This window comes from Homo sapiens, chromosome 19 (assembly GCF_000001405.40).
Source record: "Homo sapiens chromosome 19, GRCh38.p14 Primary Assembly".
Classification (NCBI taxonomy): domain Eukaryota; kingdom Metazoa; phylum Chordata; class Mammalia; order Primates; family Hominidae; genus Homo; species Homo sapiens.
In genome coordinates, this window is record NC_000019.10 from 18,015,707 (window position 1) to 18,035,648 (window position 19,942).

Consider the following 19,942-nt stretch of genomic DNA (forward strand, 5'->3'; position numbering starts at 1 on the left):
TTTAGCCATTCATCCGCGGATGGACATCTGGGTTGTTTCCACGGCTTGGCTATAGTGAATCTTGCTGCTAAGAACACGTGTGTTCAAGGATTACTTTGAAAACCCACGGAGCTGTTAGGTGGCCCTAGTGGCGTGGGGCTGTTATTCTTCTGGAGTTACAGGTGGGGATAGTGAGCTCAAGAGAAAGAGACTAGCCTGGCCAACATGGTGAAATCCTGTCTCTTCTAAAAAGAATACAAAAATCAGTGAGACGTGGTGCAGGCACCTGTAATCTCGGCTACTTCGGAGGCTGAGGCAGAAGAATCACTTGGACCCGGGAGGTAGAGGCTGCAGTGAGCTGAGATCATGCCACTGCACTCCAGCCTGGGTGACAGAGTAGTGAGACCCTTTCTCAAAAAAAAAAAAAAAAGAAAAGAAAAAAAAGGAAATAAGAAAGAAGGGAGGGAGGGAGGAGAAAAGAAGAGAAAAAAAAAGAGAAAAGAAAAGAAAGGGGGGAGGGAGGGAGGGAGAGAGAGAGAGAAAGAGAAACAAAGGGAAGAGGAAGGAAGGGAGGGAGGGAGGGAGGGAGAGAGAGAGAAAGAGAAACAAAGGGAAGAGGAAGGAAGGGAGGGAGGGAGATGCTCCACTTGGGTCCCACAGTCAGGACTGAGACGGCCAGCACTCAAAACTGCCCCTTGGGCCAGGCACAGTGGCTCACACCTGTAAATCCCAGCACTTTGGGAGGCCAAAGCAGGAGAATCGCTTGAGCCTAGGAGTTTGAGACCAGCCTGGGCAACATAGCAAGATCCCGACTCTACAAAAAAAAAAATATATAAAAAATTAACCAGGTGTGGCAGTGTGGACCTCTAGTTCTAGCTACTCAGGGGGATGAGGTTAGGAGGATCACCTGAGCCTGGGAAATCGCGGCTGCAGCGAGCTATGATCGCACCACTGCACTCTAGCCTTGGCGACAGAGTGAGATCCTGTCTCAAAAAAATATATAAACACTGCCTCTTAGACTCCAGAGTCCATGCCGCCCTCAGGCCACATGATACTGTGCCCCTCAAGCTCCTGCTGAAGCTCTGCCTGTCTCACCTAAGCCCTCGTGCCCCTCCAAGGTTGGGCAAGGCCCTATTGAAACCCTAGTCTGGGCCGGGCGCGGTGGCTCAAGCCTGTAATTCCAGCACTTTGGGAGGCTGAGGTGGGTGGATCACGAGGTCAGGAGACCAAGACCATCCTGGCTAATACGGTAAAACCCCGTCTCTACTACAAATAGAAAAAAATTAGCCGGGCGTGGTGGCGTGTGCCTGTAGTCCCAGCTACTCGGGAGGCTGAGGCAGGAGAATGGTGTGAACCCAGGAGGTGGAGATTGCAGTGAGCCGAGATCGTGCCACTGCACTCCAGCCTGGGTGACAGAGCAAGACTGTCTCAAAAAAACAAAAACAAAAACAAAAAGAAACCCTAGTCTGATAGCCCAGGCTGTCCCAGCCAGCCTGCCCAAGGCAGCAGAAATTAACTGGCAGGCTGGAGGCTGGAATGGCCATTGTCAGGGCTAGGAGCCAGGGATGAGGACTGGGGGACCCAGGGGCTGGACATGAGGAGATCTGGGTTAGGTAGGGCTTGGCTCTCTGTGTGACTGCAGGCAGGTCACCTTGCGTCTGAGCCTGTTTTGTCATCTGAGACTCTGGGAGACAGCCCATCCCCACACCCTACCACAGTCCTCAATCACGTCCTTCCTCTGGCCTGAGGGTGAGCCCTCCTTTCCTGCTACCCCTGGTTCTAAGGTCTACCAAGACCTCCTTTGACCTGGCATCAAGCTTGGAGCATGCCATACATGGGAGGTCCCTGGGGCCAGCAGAGAGGAAGCATTCCCACAGCACAGTCACTAGAAGCCGAACTGACAGTCTCAGTAGGAAATGAGTTATTTGTCATGCGGGGTGTGCAAGACATATCAGTTTCCAGATCCATGTTCCCAAACAGAGGAGAGTCTAAGGTATTTATTCCAGCAAGGGATGTGGGTACAGTGCGACAAAAAGATTCCACCCAGCGGGGGTGGGAGGACAAGACGCCCCGTGTCCTCAGGACTCCTGAGTCTGCAACTATGGGGAACTTGATCCTGACAGAAGGAGAACTTTCCGGTTCAGATGATCAACAACCAGGATTAAGCTGGCCCAGATAGTCCCAATTCAGGAAACTTCCTGAACATGGGGAGGGGCCTAGGGAGCCCAAAGGCAGGTGGTCAACTTCTATCAAACATGAAATGAGGCCGGGCGCGGTGGCTCACGCCTGTGATCCAGCACTTTGAGAGGCTGAGGTGGGAGGATCACGTAAGGCCAGGAGTTTGAGACCAGCCTGGGCAACAGAGCGAGACCCCATCTCTACAAAAAAAAAAATGTAAACATTAGCTGGGCCTGGTGGCATGTGCCTATGGTCCCAGCTACTCAGGAGGCTGAGGTGGGAGAATCACTTGGCCCAGGAGGTCTAGCCTGCAGTGAGCGATGATCAAACCACTGTACTCCAGCCTGGGTGACGTGGCAAGAATTTTTCTCCAATAATAATAATAATAATAACAACAACAACAGCAGGCCGGGCACAGTAATCCCAGCACTTTGGGAGGCCAAGGCGGGTGGATCACGAGGTCAGGAGATCAAGACCATCCTGGCTAACACAGTGAAACCCCATCTCCACTAAAAATACAAAAAGTTCTCCGGGCGTGGTGGCGGGCACCTGTAGTCCCAGCTACTCCGGAGGCTGAGGCAAGAGAACGGTGTGAGCCCGGGAGGCGGAGCTTGCAGTGAGTAAGTGGAGATTGAGCCACCGCACTCCAGCCTGGGCGACAGAGTGACACTCTGTCTCAAAAATAAATAAATAAATAAAAAATAACGAAATAACAAAAACCCCAACCCTCTCCAGGCCCGTAAGACCCCCTGCCCACCTCTCCCTCCAGCTCCCCCTCCCTCCCCGTCTGCTACTCAAACACTCCAAGCTGATTTTTATTTTTATTATTTTTATCTTTTAGACAGAGCCTCACTCTGTTGCCCAGGCTGGAGTGCAGTGGCTCGATCTCGGCTCACTGCAATCTCCGCCTCCCAGGTTCAAGTGATTCTGCCTCAGCCTCCCAAGTAGCTGCGACTACAGGTGCCCACCACCATGCTCAGCTAATTTTTGTATTTTTAATAAAGACAGGGTTTCACCATACTGGCCAGGCTGGTCTTGAACACCTGACCTCAAATGATCCACCTGCCTCGGCCTCCCAAAGTGCTGGGATTACAGGTTTGAGCCACCGCGCCCGGCCCTCCAAGCTGATTTTTACCTTGGGGACTTCTCATATACTATTCCCCCTGCGAAAAGGCTCTTCCCCCATTGGTGGTTTCTCTTTACCCCCTGGCCTCACTTTTTCAGAGCCACTCCAACCTCCTGGCCAAAGTTGCCACCCCCTCCATCACTCCCTCTCCTATCTCTCTGTTCTGTAGTCTTCCTAGCCCTCATCACGCTCTGAAATTACTACTTAGATGTTCATTTGTTTGTCTGACCCTCTGTGGGCAGGGCCAGATCCAGGCTCTGACCCCCGCCCCAGCATGCAGCAGGCATGAGGGTGGTTGACTAAGTGACTGGGGGACCACTGCTCTGCCTACTTTGATGTGGATGAAGACTCCTCTTTTTTTTTTTTTTTTTGAGACAGAGTCTCACTCTGTTGCCCAGGCTGGAGTGCAGTGGGTTGATCTCTGCTCACTGCAAGCTCCGCCCCCCGGGTTCATGCCATTCTCCTGCCTCAGCCTCCCAAGTAGCTGGGACTACGGGCGCCCACCACTACGCCTGGCTAATTTTTTTTTTGTATTTTTAGTAGAGACGGGGTTTCACAGTGTTCGCCAGGATGGTCTCGATCTCCTGACCTCGTGATCTGCCCACCTCGGCCTCCCAAAGTGCTGAGATTACAGGCATGAGCCACCACGCCCGGCCTTTTTCTTTTTTTTTTCTTTTCTTTTTTTTTTTGAGACAGCATTGTCCAAGCTGGAGTGGAAAGCCTCGATCTCGGCTCACTGCAAACTCTGCCACCCGAGTTCAAGCAATTCTCATGCCTTGGCCTCCTGACTAGCTGGGATTACAGGCACCCATCACCACGCCCAGCTAATTTTTGTATTTTTAGTAGAGACAGGGTTTCACCATGTTGCCCAGGCTGGTCTTGAACTTCTGACCTCAGGTGATCTGCCCATCTTGGCCTCCCAAAGTGCTGGGATTACAGGCGTGAGCCACCATGCCCAGCTCAGATGAAGATTCTGATGGGGGTGGAGGTGTCATCCCTTGCACTTGCTCCCAAGACCTCCTAGAGTCAGACGTGTCCCCCATGCAGAGTCAAATGCTAGGTCTCTATCTCTCAGTGTCTCTGTCTGTTTCATTCTGACTCTCACCATCTTTTCTTTCCCATCTCTGTCTCTCTCTCAATATCTGTCTTGCTTACTGTCTCTGTCTCTGTCTCTCAGTCTTATTGCCTCTGTACTTCTGTCTCTTTCTCCCTGTCTCTGTCTCCCTCTGCCTCTGATTCTCTCACTATCTCTCTTGGCTACCATCTCTCTGTCTCTTTGGGTCCCTGACTCTCTCACCATCTCTGCCTCCTGCCCTGGCCCGGCCAGCTGGGGGACAAGGGGTGACAAGCAGTCAGGGCGCCCGCTGCTTGTTTTCCCACCCACGCTGGCAGGGAGCCCAGCCCAGCCGGGCCACTGTTCAGGAATCCTCCAGCCTCCCCGCTCCAGCCACCAGGCGCGGCCACCGCCAGCCTCTCCTCCCAGCACATTCTGTCCCAAGCAAAGAGCGCCAGAGATGGGGTGGGGGTGGGGGTGGGAGGGGGACGCATTCCTGCTGAGCTCCAGTTACAGGACAGCTTGTCCTGGTGGCCCCACCAGCACAACCTCCTGATGGCTCCCCATCCTGCTGTGGGGTTAGACCTTCCTGAATGAAGCCAAAGCCCCTCTGCCAGTTCGTGCCCACCTCAGGGCCTTTGCACCAGCCATACCTTCCACCTGGCACTCTGTCTCCCTAGATCTCCCCAAGACCTCCTCCGCCTGCACATCTGAGACCTCACATCACCTTCTCAGCAAGTCCCCTCTGTCCCTAGGCCCGGGCACCCCAAATTCCCCTCCTGCTGCCCCAGTGCATTTAATTTCCTGGTCCTCCCCATGTCCCTGGGGTTACATATTCACTTGTTTGTTGATGTGGTGTCTATTACACCAGGTCCCCACTGTGTCCCAGCACCCTGAACACACAGTAGGTGGCTTAGTGAAGGTTTTTACAATTGACATCTATTCCTCCCAAAGCTCAGCCCGCCCAGGCTCATCCATGTGGATCCACAGTTCTGACCACCCCACCTCTGCCTCACCCTGCCTCCGCCACCCCTGCACCCTAATGCAGCAGGATTTCCCAAGCCCCCCTGCCTTGGCCCAGGGAGTTATCTCCACCAGATCCACCTTTCTGAGCGAGGAGCTGGGTGCATTGAGGGGCAGGGGCGGCTGGAGTTCAGATGCACCTTTTGAGCGAGGGGCTGGGCCTCTCTGTCGCTGGGCTCCAGGCACAGGGCAGTCATGATGTACACACACACGTGCAAACACACACGCACACACATAAGCCTGTCAGCAACATAGAAACACCAGCCAGTGAACTCGGGCACAAGCAGCCGGGCACAGAGTGTTCACCAGGTGCTCACATGTGGAGTACCCCAACTCCTAGGAGGATGCGGTTATGGCCTGGATCCTACAGGTGGGGCCCAGACATGGGCTTTGAACCCACGCCAGGGTATGCACAAACCTATCCAAACACACGCGTGTCTGCCCTAGCTTCCCTCACCCGGGAGTCACCCCCCCACCCCCCACCTTGTTTTTGATGTTCAGGAAAGTCCCCAGAAAGCACTGGGCCCGGGCAAGGGGCCAGGAGGAAATGGTGACTCAGCCGGTGGCCATCAGTGCCTGCCACGCTGGGCTGGGTGGACTGCGCGGCCCGATCTGGGAGGATCCACAGAAAACAACAATAAAAGATGAGGGCGTGGGTGCGGGGTAAAAAGGACTCAGCCCAAGAATGATCAGAGAGGGGATGGATCCCCCTGTGCTCCAACACTTCAACCCTGCTGGGCCTGATTGACAAGTGGGGAAACTGAGACACAGGGAACAAGTGACTTCGCCAAGGCCCACCAGCCAAGATGGTACAGGCAAGGGGATCCCTAAGTCCTTAACACAGGGGTCTGGAGGAATGTCTACCTGCCCTGCCCTTTTTTTTTTTTTTTTTTTTGGAGACAGGGTCTCACTCTGTCCGTCAGGCTGGAATGCAGTGGCATGATCTCAGCTGACTGCAATCTCCGCCTCCTGCCTCAGCCTCCCAAGTAGCTGGGATTACCGGCGCCTGTCCCTATGCCCAGGTAATTTTTGTATTTTTAGTAGAGATGGGGTTTCACCATGTTGGCCAGGCTGGTCTCAAACTCCTGACCTCAGGTGATCTGCCCACCTCGGCCTGCCAAAGTGCTGGGATTACAGGCGTGAGCCACAGTGCCCGGCTCCCTGCCCCACTTTCTGAGACCCAGATCCACTTCCTGGTTTCCTGTGTGGTCATGTGACCACACTTGGCCAATTGGAGCCTTTTGTTATCACAGGCACAGGGATTGGGTCAGGGCTGGGCACGTGATCCTGCCTGAGCCAATCATGCTACGAGTTTGGAGACTCCCTGGAAGAAGGCCTAGAAGTAAGGAAAACCATCTTGGACGCATGATGATGGCAGTGGATCAGAGTCCCAAGGACACTGGTGAAGATCAGAGCAGGACTCACACAACCTCAGATCCCTGTGGAGTCAGGGTGGAACCAGAGGGAAGGCTGAAGGCTGGAGGGTCCTGAGAGGCCTTGCAGAAAGAGAGGACATTGGAGCTGGGGCTTTGATGGATGAAGAGGAACTAGGGAAAGGCATTTCAAGCAGAGGGAACAGCCTGTGCAACCACAGCAGGCAGGTGGGAGCTAGGCGTGTCCTCAGCCACCCCAGTGGCCCCATGGGGCTGGAGCATAGAGAGGCATCTGCAAATGTGTTTATTTGTTTATTGAGACGGAGTTTTGCTCTTGTTGCCCAGGCTGGAGTGCAGTGGCGCAATCTTGGCTCACTGCAACCTCCGCCTCCCGGGTTCAAGCGATTCTCCTGTCTCAGTCTCCTGAGTAGCTGGGATTACAGGCGCACGCCACCACGCCCACCTAATTTTTTGTATTTTTAGTAGAGACGGGGTTTCACCATGTTGGCCAAGCTGATCTTGAACTCCTGACCTCAGGTGATCCACCCGCCTTGGCCTCCCAAAGTGCTGGGATTACAGGCGTGAGCCACTGCGCGTGACTATTTATTTATTTTTTTAGATGGAGTCTCACTCTATTGCCCAGGCTAGAGTGCAGTGGCACGATCTTGGCTCACTGCATCCTCCGCCTCCCAGGTTCAAGTGATTCTTCTGCCTCAGCCTCCTGAGTAGCTGGGATTAAAGGTGCCTGCCACCACGCCCGGCTAATTTTTGTATTTTAATAGAGACGGGGTTTCACCATGTTGGCCACGCTGGTCTTGAACTCCTGACCTCAAGTGAGCTGCCCGCCTCAGCCTCCCAAAGTGCTGGGATTACAGACGTGAGCCACCGTGCCCGGTTTAAATGTGTTTATTTGTCTCTGTGCTCAATTCTCCCACCTACAAGCCCCCTAAGGGCAGGACCGGGTTTGCTTTGTTGGTGGCCAGCAGTTGTCCATTAATGTTTGTGATACAGGTGAACCAGGCCACGTGAAGCCTTGAACCGGGGCTGAGAGCCAGCGCTTTCTTTTGGGGACACAAAACAGGCAGGATGGGCAGGGGGTGGTGAATAGAAAAGATTGGGTACATAAGGCAGAAGAGCCTGGGGCTTTATAGGGGTGGCCCCTGAAGCCTGTGACCCAGGAGGGACCAGGCCCAGGCCACAGTCCAGGCAGGAGAGGGCGTGTCCCCATCTGTGAACCCCCACCCCCAGACCCTGGCCATGGTGCTTAGGAGGGAGGCAGCATGGAGCTTCGGGTCTGGGCTCTGGGACCACCTCTTCCTCCCTGTGTGACCGTGGGCAAACGACAGCACCCCTCTGAGCCTCAGTTTCCTCATCTGGAGCTTGACTTCACTGTACGTCAGTGTCAGGACTGGGCACAGAGTGGGTGCAGCGTCTGTGGGGCAGCATGGGGGTGCTGAGGCAGTGGGTGAGGGGTAGGCTCGTCTGGAACATGCCGTTAGCAGTTCCCAGCCTCTTTGAAAACAGGAAACCGGCTCTCATGGGAGCCCCCAGCTGTGCTTCCTGAGTCTCCGCGTGACGTGCGCGTGCTGGGGCAGTGTGGGCAGGCATGTGTGTGTTTGCGTGTTTGCAGGCGGCCTGGAATATAGGTGGATCCGCCTGCGTGTGCATATGTGTGTGTGTGTGTGTGTGTGTCGGGCCGCACGTGGCATTGCCCAGAGGCATGTACACACACAACCGTTACCTGTGCTCGCATGTGGAGCTATGGATCTCAGCCAGTGTGGGAAGCAGACAGTGGGTTGGTTGGGGCACTTTTGAGTCTGGGTCTAAGTGTTAAGTCTGTGTGTCCGTCAGCAGAGGTGACTGGTGTGTGCTGGGACTGACTTGGGCCGGCAGAGCCTGTATCGTGGCCCTAAGGCCTCCGAAACCCCAGGTCAGCCCTGATTCAGCTGCTGATGTTGGCTTTATTTATTTATTTATTTTGAGACAGGGTATTGCTGTGTTGTCCAGGCTGGAGTGCAGTGGTGCCCTGTTAGCCCACTGTGGTCTCGACCTCCTAGGCTCAAGCTATCCTTCCACCTCATCCTCCTGAGTAGCTGGGACAACAGACACACACCACCACACCCAGCTAATTTTTGTATTTTTTGTAGACATGGAATCTTACTACGTTGCCCAGGCTGGTCTCCAACTCCTGAACTCAAGCGATCGGCCTGTCTCAGGCTCCAAAAGCACTGAGATTACAGACATGAGCAGTGGCCACTTTTTTTTTTTTGAGACAGTCTCACTCTATTGCCCAGACTGGAGTGCAGTGGTACAATCATATCTCACTGCAGCCTCGACCTCCCAAGCTCAAGTGGTCCTCCTCCTTCAGCCTCCCAACCATCTGGGACCACAGACACAAGCCACCATGCCCGGCTAACTTTTTTTTTTTTTTTTGAGATGGAGTCTCACTCTGTCACCCAGGCTGGAGTGCAGTGGCAAGATCTCGGCTCCCTGCAACCTCTGCCTCCCAGGTTCAAGTGATTCTCCTGCCTCAGCCTCCAGAGTAGCTGGGATTACAGGCATGCACCACCACATCTGGCCAATTTTTTATATTTTTGGTAGAGACGGGGTTTCACCATGTTGGCCAGGCTGGTCTCAAACTCTTGGAGTGATCATCCTGCCTCAGTTTCCCAAAGTGCTGGGATTACAGGCGTGAGCCACCATGCCTGTAATTTTATTTTTTTTATTATTTTTATTTTTGTAGAGAAACATAGGTTTCCCTATGTTTCCAGGGCTGATCTCAAAATGAGATCCTCCTGCCTCGGCTTCCCAAAGTACTGGGATTATAGGAGTGAGCCACCATGCCTGGTCTACAACAGGTTCATTGTCACCTCAGGGCCTTTTATTTTTTTTTTCTTTTTTTTGAGACAGAGTTTTGCTCTTGTTGCCCAGGCTGGAGTGCAATGGCACAATCTTGGCTCACCACAACCTCTGCCTCCAGGGTTCAAGCGATTCTCCTGCCTCAGCCTCCCAAGTAGCTAGGATTACAGGCATGCGCCACCACTCCCGGCTAATTTTGTATTTTTAGTAGAGATGGTTGTTCTCCATGTTGGTCAGGCTGGTCTCGAACTCCTGACCTCAGGTGATCTGCCCGCCTCGGCCTCCCAAAGTGCTGGGATTACAGGTGTGAGCCACCACGCCCGGCACCTCAGGGCCTTTCTACGTGTTGTTCTTTCTGCCCAGATAGCTCTTCCTCTCGCTCATTACAAAGCCTGCACGTTCTCTTCCTGAAGATGTCAGTTTAAGCATCCACTCCTTAGAGACCTTTCCACCTCTTCTTGTTTCTTGTTTTTTTGTTTTAATTTTTTGACAAGAGTCTTGCAGGCTGGAGTGCAGTGGCGTGATCTTGGCTCACTGCAGCGTCTGCCTCCCAGGTTCAAGCAATTCTCCTGCCTCAGCCTCCCCAAGTAGCTGGGACTACAGGCATGTGCCACCACAGCCAGCTAATTTTTGTGGTGGTGTTTTTTTTTTTTTTCCCGAGACGGAGTGTTGCTCTGTCGCCCAGGCTGGAGTGCTGCTCTGTCGCCCAGGCTGGAGTGCAGTGGCACAATCTCGGCTCACTGCAAGCTCCGCCTCCCGGGTTCACGCCATTGTCCGGCCTCAGCCTCCCGAGTAGCTGGGACTACAGGCACCCGCCACCACACCCGGCTAATTTTTTGTATTTTTTTGTAGAGACAGGGTTTCACCGTGTTAGCCAGGATGGTCTCAATCTCCTGACCTCGTGATCTGCCCGCCTCGGTCTCCCAAAGTGCTGGGATTACAGGCGTGAGCCACCGCGCCCAGCCTAATTTTTGTGTTTTTAGTAGAGACGGGGTTTCAACATGTTGGCCAGGCTGGTCTTGAACTCCTGACCTCCAGTGATCCACCCACCTCAGCCTCCCAAAGTGCTAGGATTACAGGTGTGAACCACTGTGCTTGGCTCCTTTCACCTCTTTCACAAAAGCTGCCCTATTCTCCCTCTCAGTTCCTTCCAATTCCTTGCTTTGCCTTTCTCACAGTTTGTGATTACAATGTATTGACAGGTTCACGGCCTGTCTTCCACCTCCCCTCGGTACTGGGAGCTCCAAGAGGGCGGGTCATAGCATGCAGTAGGTGCTCAATAAATTTACTGGCTGGGTGTGGTGGCTCATGCCTGTATAAAGCACTTTGGGAGGCTGAGATGGGAGGATCCCTTGAGGCCAGGACTTTGAGACCAGCCTGAGCAACATGGTGAAGCCCCATCTCTACTAAAAATAAAAATAAAAAAAATTAGCCAGGCATGGTGGCACACACCTGTAGTCCTAGCTACTGGGGAGACTGAGGTGGGAGGATTGTTTGAGCCCAGGAGGTTGAGGCTGCAGTGAGCCGTGATTGCACCACTGCACTCCAGCAGAATGGGACCCTATCTCTAAAATAAATAAATAATATAAAAATAAATGCAGTATGCTAAATGAGAGTGCCTGCACAAGATGCAGAGAGCCAGGAATGGGGAGGTGGAAGACAAGGGCCCTCCCTCAGTAGCTGCTCAATTAGTGTATGATGGATTAATGAAGCTCAGAGTAAGACCTTGACCCACTGGTCCTGGACTCCTAAAGAGGAGTCTTCTGGCCTCATCCCTAGCCTCCTGGCCCCAGATCACACTGTGTGAGCAGCCCCTGGAGCCTGCTTGGCAGGGGAGGAACAGAAGTCCCTGCTCAGTTATTTGCACACTGGCTTCTCCCACGAAGTCCTAACATCGCAACTTCAAGTGCCCTTTCCTTTCAGACCCCAGGCCTGGAAAGGTCTTTATTTTGGCCACCTCAGCCCATTGCATGGAAGGGATATCCAAGGTCAGAAGCAATCCCGTCCCTGTGTCCAGGTTGAGCATGTCCCTCCTCTGCTCACACACCCTCCGTGGCTCCCTATTACCCTCAGGAGAAAGTCCAGCTCCTCAGCTCAGCAGTCACAGTCCAGCCTGAGTGTGGCAAGATCATTTTTCCTTTGTCTAATTCTCAGTCACTCTTTGGGTCTCATCTTGGTTATGTTTCCCAGTATTGACCATTGACACAGTCCCAGGACACACTAACTGCTGTCAGAAACCAAATGTTCATTGCATTAATCTTGTCAGAACATCAGGCTGAATACGACTTTTATTGTTGTTGTTAAGAGACTGTGTCTGGCTCTTTCACCCAGGCTGGAGTACAGTGGTGCAATCATGGTTCACTGCAGCCTCAACCTCCGGGCTCAAGCGATCCTCCCACCTTAGCCTCCCGAGTAGCTGGGACTACGCACACTACCACACTCAGCTAATTTATTTATTTTTTATAGAGATGAGGTCTCACTCTGTCGCCCAAGTTGGAGTGCAGTGGTACAGTCATGGCTCACGCAGCCTCGACCTCTGGGCTCATGCGATCCTCCTACCTCAGTCTCCTGAGTAGCTGGGACTACAGGCACACAGCACCACACCTGGCTAAGTTTTTTTTTTTTTAATTTTTTGTAGAGACAGGTCTCACCATGTTGACCAGCCTGGTCTCGAACTCCTGGACTCAAACGATTCCTCCCCACTCTGCCTCCCAACGTGTTGGATTACAGGCATGAGCCGCCACGCCCATTAGGATATGACTTTTTTTGTTTGTTGTTTTGTTTTTTGAGACGGAGTTTCGCTCTTGTTGCCCAGGCTGGAGTGCAATGGCACGATCTCAGCTCACTGCAACCTCCGCCTCCTGGGTTCAAGTGATTCTCCTGTCTCAGCCTCCCTAGTAGCTGGGATTACAGGCATGTGCCACCACACCCATCTAATTTTGTATTTATTTTTAATAGAGATGGGGTTTCTCCATGTTGATCAGGCTGGTCTCAAAGTCCCGACCTTGGCCTCCCAAAGTGCTGGGATTACAGGCGTGAGCCACCATGCCCGGTCTAGGATATGACTTTTACAGAGTAAAAAGACTCACAGTTTGCATTGCATGTGACCACTGTGGACCATTGACTATTAACAGAGTATTAAATTCAATATAAAGAACAGTGACTGCCCAAGAGCTTAGATCAGGAATAGGCAAACATTTTCTATAAAGGGCCAGATAGGAAATATTTGAAGCTTTGCCGGCTACACAGTCTCTTTTGCAATTACTCTACGCTGCGGCTGTTTGAAAGCATTCATATACACAAATAAGTGAGCATGGCTGTATCCCAGGAAAACTTTGTTCATGGACACTCAAGTGTGAATTTCATGTAATTTTCACATGTCATCAAATAGTCTTCCTCTGGTAGTTTTTCAGTCATTTTAAAATGTAGGCCAGGTATGGTGGTTCTTGCCTGTAATCCCAGTGCTTGGGGAAGCTGAAGTGAGAGGACCGTTTGAGGCCAGGAGTTCAAGACCAGCCTGGGCAACATAGGGAGACCCCCTCCTCCATCCTTACAAAAAGTTTTAAAAATTAGCTGGGATGCCTGTAGTCTCAGCTATTCAGTAGGCTGAGGTGGGAGGATCACTTAAGCCTGGGAGTTCGAAGCTGCAGTGAGCTATGATCCCGCCACTGCATTCTAGCTTGGGTGACTGAGAGAGATCTTGTCTCTAAAAAAAAGGAGGGAGCCAGGGCCGGTCATGGAGACCATCCTGGCCAACATGGTGAAACCCTGTCTCCACTGAAAATACAAGAAAGAAAGTAAAAAAAAAAAAAAACCCAAACTAGCTGGGCGTGGTGGCAGGCGCCTATAATCCCAGCTACTCGGGAGGGTGAGGCAGGAGAATCGCTTGAACCCAGGAGGTGGAGGTTGCAGTGAACCGAGATGAAGGCACTGCATTCCAGCCTGGGGGATAAGAGTGAAACCCATCTCAAAAAAAAAAAAAAAAAAAGGAGCCAGGAGCGGTGGCTCACACCTATAATCCCAGCAGCACTTTGGGAGGCTGGGGCAGGCGGATCACTTGAGACCAGGAGTTCTAGACCAGCCTGGCCAACATGGTGAAACCCTGTCTCTACTAAAAATACAGTAATTATCTGGGTGTGGTCCCAGCTACTCGGGAGGCTGAGGTGGGAGATTAGCTTGAACCTGGGAGGCAGAGGTTGCAGTGAGCCGAGATTACGCTGCTGCATTCCAGCCTGGGCGACAGAGTGAGACTCTGTCTCAAAAAAAAAAAAAAAAAAAAAAACGGAAAAAAAATTGAATACTGTTTTGGGGTCATGGTTAAAGCTGAAGTTTACCAACCCCTGATGGGTCATAAGTGTCATGATTTGTGTTTACAGAGTATCAGAACTTTGTTTAAAGTTACCAGCTGATAAAATATGAGGACAGGTTTATGGCTAACAGGGTTTCATCATTGACAGATAGCAAGTATCAGGATTAGTCTTTTTTCACAAAGTATCAGAACACAGCAAGCTCTGATGGCTAATCAGGTGTCAGAACCTGGGTTTAAGTCCAACCCTGCCTTGGGGCCCACGGCACCGCGGTAACCACCAACTACTGTCCACTCTCAGGATACTGTTTACTAAGTATCGAGTGACAGGCTGATGGCAAAGTATCGGGTCATGGATGTCACACTGTGAGTTGGGCACTGTGACAGCGTCTCTAGATGCCAGCTGTTTACAGTGACAGGAGACTGGCTGTTTACAGGGGATGAGTCAGCCCCACTTCCAGATACCCAAGTCCAGATGGCGGGTAGGATTGGCACCTCTCCAGGTGTTTACAGGGTACTGAGGTCCTGGCAAGCTGGGCTTCTCTCCTGCGGCCACCTCTAGCCAGGGTGGGGAATGAGTCCCCTGAAGGCTGTGGGACCCATGATCCTGGTTAGATTCTCCTTCTGCTTGTCCCTGGCTGTGCTGCCTCAGGCACATTACTTAACCTTTCTGGGCCTCTGCCACCTCATCTGTAAAATGGGCATGATGGTGAAGCCAGGTTGCCAGATAAAATATAGGCTACTCAGCTAAATGTGAAGTTCAGATCAATATTGAATTTGGTTTTACTGTAAGTATATCCCATGCAACATTTGGGATATACTTATACTAAAAAAAAATTATTCATTGATGCTATGGTTTGAATGGTCCCCCAAAGTTCATATGTTTGAAACTTAATCCTCAAAGCAGTCCTTTCAACCTTGTCAACCTGTCGGCGCGGCCTCTGGTGCAGTGGCGGCGGCTCCTGTTCCTGCCGCAGCTCTCTCCCCTTCTTACCTCCCCACCAGATCCCGGAGATCGCCCGCCATGGCTTTACTTACTGCGGCCGCCCGGCTCTTGGGAACCAAGAATGCATCTTGTCTTGTTCTTGCAGCCCAGCATGCCAGTGCTTCCTCCATGAATTTGAAAGACATATTGGCTGACCTCATACCTAAGGAGCAGGCCAGAATTAAGACCTTCAGGCAGCAACATGGCAAGAAGGTGGTGGGCCAAATCACTGTGGACATGATGTATGGTGGCATGAGAGGCATGAAGGGATTGGTCTATGAAACATCAGTTCTTGATCCTGATGAGGGCATCCGTTTCTGAGGCTTTAGTATCCCTGAATGCCAGAAACTGCTACCCAAGGCTAAGGGTGGGGAAGAACCCCTGCCTGAGGGCTTATTTTGGCTGCTGGTAACTGGATGTATCCCAACAGAGGAACAGGTATCTTGGCTCTCAAAAGAGTGGGCAAAGAGGGCAGCTCTGCCTTCCCATGTGGTCACCATGCTGGACAACTTTCCCACCAATCTACACCCCATGTCTCAGCTCAGTGCAGCTGTTACAGCCCTCAACAGTGAAAGTAACTTTGCCCAAGCATATGCACGGGGTATCAGCCGAACCAAGTACTGGGAGTTGATTTATGAAGACTCTGTGGATCTAATCACAAAGCTACCTTGTGTCGCAGCAAAGATCTACCGAAATCTCTATGGAGAAGGCAGTGGTATTGGGGCCATTGACTCTAACCTGGACTGGTCTCACAGTTTCACCAACATGTTAGGCTATACTGATCATCAGTTCCCTGAGCTCATGCACCTGTACCTCACTATCCACAGTGACCATGAGGGCGGCAATGTAAGTGCCCATACCAGCCACTTGGTGGGCAGTGGCCTTTCAGACCCTTACCTGTCCTTTGCAGCAGCCATGAACGGGCTGGCAGGGCCTCTCCATGGACTGGCAAATCAGGAAGTGCTTGTCTGGCTAACACAGCTGCAGAAGGAAGTTGGCAAAGATGTGTCAGATGAGAAGTTATGAGACTACATCTGGAACACACTCAACTCAGGACGGGCTGTTCCAGGCTATGGCCATGCAGTACTAAGGAAGACTGATCCACGATATACCTGTCAGCGAGAGTTTGCTCTGAAACACCTGCCTAATGACCCCATGTTTAAGTTGGTTGCTCAGCTATGCAAGATTGTGCCCAATGTCCTCTTAGAGCAGGGTAAGGCCAAGAATCCTTGGCCCAATGTAGATGCTCACAGTGGGGTGCTGCTCCAGTATTATGGCATGATGGAGATGAATTACTACACAGTCCTGTTTGGGGTGTCACGAGCATTGGGTGTACTGGCACAGCTCATCTGGAGCCGAGCCTTAGGCTTCCCTCTAGAAAGGCCCAAGTCCATGAGCACAGAGGGTCTGATGAAGTTTGTGGACTCTAAGTCAGGGTAAAACTGGAGACTGGGGGAAAGTGACTACCAGAAAGTGAGGAAGCCTAAATAAAAAGTATACTTTTGTTTCAGGGGGCCTTTAAAGACTTAAGATTAAATTATATCTGAGGCACTGATAATATGTTTGAGGTTAAAATATAAATTAAGACTTTAAAAGATGAAAAATGGTCCCTTCTTCCCTAATCAGCTCCTTTCCCCTGCCTGGTATGAGTTGCCCATCACAGGCATGGTCCTGGAGGATGACCAGGACTAATGCATGTGGTATGAGTAGGTTTGGCCCCCTCACTATCTCTAGAGTGAGAATCTGGCTCCTGTTTCCATGGCTCAAAGCCGGTTGCAGAGAATCTGCAGTCACTTCGGAGCTTTAGCTTCTTCTCTGCCAAGCCCTCAATAAGCCAGCAAACCAGGACTCTGCCCCTTCTGTTTCCATAGGAATCATGTTGGATAGTCAGCTGTACCAAGCCCCTTGGCCTTCCCATGCACACAAACACCTCCTAGCAAGACCTGTTGGTTAGCTGGACATGCTTTGGCAATTTTTTTATACTGCCAAGTGACCATAAAGGCATGGCATTTGTTGTGACTGGCACCCAATGTTTGATTTTTTTTTTAAACTATCCAATTAAAATTAAGGTCTGGGAGTGTTCTGTTTCCCATTACTTTAATACTCACCCCCCTCCCAGACTTTCTACACCTGTTTCACCTCAGGCTGAGGATGTTCTGGACCTCCCCCTCTTAGTCCCTACTAGAGACCTCTCAACAGATCTGTGGGCCCAGTCATTGGGTTTTATCAGTGCTTAATGTGAACTAAGTTTTTTACTTCCAACAGAATACAAGCCACTACCTTCTGACCTCCCCACCCCCCACCAACCCCCAGCTTTTAATATGCTGTGGGGCATAGAACAGGGACTCCGGAATGACCAGCATGATATTTTCAGAGTCTTGTCCCTGGGGTATTAGCACCTCTTTTTGAACAGAGAATTGATTCAAGATTGGACATGGTCTCCTCTGATTATCAGGTACTGGGGCTGAGGGCATTAAAAATAGTAAGCCTCCTTCCTCGTCCCCTGCCTCAAGAAATTGCCTCCTTATTTATCAACATCTTTTTCCTCCCTTTCCCTGAGAGCTCACAGTACAATGTTTGTTTCAGAAGCCCCATTTGCACAGGTTTTCAGCAACTCAGAATGCTCTACTTCTTTTTCTTTGAGAAAGGATTGAGATACGCTCCTGCTGTGCCCCCATCTTTCCTCCAAACTCCTGCCTGTGTTTGTGTGGATACCCAGTCCCAGAACCACACTGTTGAGTTGGACACACTGTAAACCCCTGGCTAACTGTCAAGTCATGATGCAGACTTCAGGTTGTTCTGTATAAAATGCAAAATAAATGTTTTAATTAACAATGAAAAAAAAAATCCTCAAAGCAATAGTGTTGAGAGGTGGGACCTTTAAGAGGTGATTCGATCACTGGAGTGGGTTCGTCATTGTGGGAATGGATTTGTTATAAAAGTGAGATTGGAGGCCAGGCATGGTGGCTCACACCTGTAATCCCAGCACTTTGAGAGGCTGAGGTGGGTGGATCACTTGAGGTCAGGAGGTTGAGACCAGCTTGGCCAACATGGTGAAACCCTGTCTCTACTAAAAATACAAAAATGAGCTGGGCGCGGTGGCGGACGCCTGTAATCCCAGCTACCTGGGAAGCTGAGGCAGGAGAATTGCTTGAGCCTAGGAGGCAGAGGTTGTAGTGAACCAAGATCGCGCCATTGCACTCCAGCCTGGGGTACAGAGTGAGACTCTGTCTCAAAAAAAAAAAAAAAAAAAAAAAAAAAAGTGAGCTTGGAGGCCGGGCACAGTGGCTCATGTCTGTAATCCCAGCACTTTGGGAGGCCAAGGCAAGCAGATCACCTGAGGTCAGGAGTTCAAGACCAGCCTGGCCAACATAGTGAAAGCCCGCCTCTACTAAAAAAAAAAAAAAAAAAAATTACCCAGGCATGGTGGCACATGCCTTTAATCCTAGTTACTCAGGAGGCTGAGGCAGGAGAATTGTCTGAGCCAGGGAGGCGGAGGTTGCAATGAGCCGAGATCGTGCCACTGCACTCCAGCCTGGGTGACAGGACGAGACTCCGTCTCAAAAAAAAAAAAAGAAAAGTGAGATTGGGCTGGACACAGTGGCTCACACTAGTAACCCCAGCGCAAGGCAGGAGGATCCTTGAGCCCAGGGGTTTGAGAACAGCCTGGGCAACATAGTGAGACTCCGTCTCTACAAAAAATTTAAAAATTAGCTCAGTGTGGTGGTATGCACCTGTAGTCCCAGCTACTCAGGAGGCTGATGCGGGAGGATCGCTTGAGCCTAGGAGTTCAAGGCTGCAGTGAGTTATGATTGCACCACTGCACCCCAGCCTGAGAGACAGAGCAAGACCCTGTCTCTGTTTTAGAGACAAATACATGTCTCTAATATATATATAATATATGAAAATATATATCATATATATAGATACATACATGAATATATAGTATATATTTATAGTATATCTATGTATAGTGAGACCCCATCTCTACAAAAAAGAACAAAATTAGCTGGGTGTGGTTGTGTGGGCCTATGGTCCCAGCTACTCAAGAGGCTGAGGCGGGAGGATTGCTTGAGCCCAGGAGGAAGTCAAGGCTGCAGTGAGCCAAGATTGCACCACTGCACTCCAGCCTGGGCAACAAGAGTAATAACCTGTCTTTAAATTTTTTTAATGTAAAAATAAATAAAAATTTAAAAGAAAAGGCTGGCCAGGTGCCATGGCTCACGCCTGTAATCCCAGCACTTTGGAAGGCCAAGGCGGGTGGATCGCGAGGTCAGGAGATCGAGACCATCCTGGTTAACACGGTGAAACCCTGTCTCTAGTAAAAATACAAAAAATTAGCTGAGCATGGTGGCATGTGCCTGTAATCCCAGCTACTCGGGAGGCTGAGGCAAGAGAGTAGCTTGAACCCAGGAGGCGGAGGTTGCAGTGAGCCAAGATCATACCACTGCACTCCTGGGTGACAGAGCAAGACTCTGTCTGAAAAAAAAGGCAAGGCAAGGCAGGGAAGGGCAGGGAAGGGCAGGGAAGGGCAGGGCAGGCAAGGCAGGGCAAGGCAGGGCAAGGCAGGGCAAGGCAGGGCTGTTTGGGGCTTCCCTTGCTCTCTGGCGTGTTTCTCTTACCAGATGATGCCTGCACCACGTGATAACACAGCAAGGAGACCCTCGCCGGATATGGCCCAATCTTGGACTTCCCAGCCTCCAGAACCACAAGCCAAATAAACTTCAATTGTTTATAGATTACCCAGCCTGTGGTATTCTGTTACCACAAAGCAGAAAGCTAAGACAGTTGTTTCTCTGAAATTTGAAGTTAACGGGGTGCCTGGATGTGTATTTGCTAAACCTGATCCCCCTGTGATGAAGCCTCCCACATCACAAAAAAAATCTTAGAAATTTAAAACTTAGCCAGGTATGGTGGTGCACACCTATAGTCCCAAACTCAGGAGGCTGAGGCAGGAGAATCCCTTGAGCACAGAAGGTCAAGGCTGCAGTGAGCCATGATCGCACCACTGCATTCCAGCCTGAGTGACAGAACAAGACCTTGTCTCTGTCTTTTTTTT

At 51.2% G+C, this 19,942-nt stretch overlaps 1 pseudogene, besides 2 other annotated features; it reads left to right on the forward strand.

Annotated features, from left to right (window-relative positions):
- Nucleotides 5,958-6,007: an enhancer, noted in NCBI's record as "active region_14294". NCBI's record gives its function as "activates an Ori minimal core promoter by ATAC-STARR-seq in GM12878 lymphoblastoid cells {active_cell/tissue: GM12878}" and the evidence as "EXISTENCE:reporter gene assay evidence [ECO:0000049][PMID:35858748]".
- Nucleotides 6,482-7,031: an enhancer, noted in NCBI's record as "H3K27ac-H3K4me1 hESC enhancer chr19:18132997-18133546 (GRCh37/hg19 assembly coordinates)". NCBI's record gives its function as "activates a minimal SCP1, AML or CMV promoter by ChIP-STARR-seq in naive H9 embryonic stem cells {active_cell/tissue: H9 hESC(naive)}" and the evidence as "EXISTENCE:reporter gene assay evidence [ECO:0000049][PMID:30033119]".
- CSP3 (CS pseudogene 3) lies at nt 14,806-17,720 on the forward strand (annotated as a pseudogene).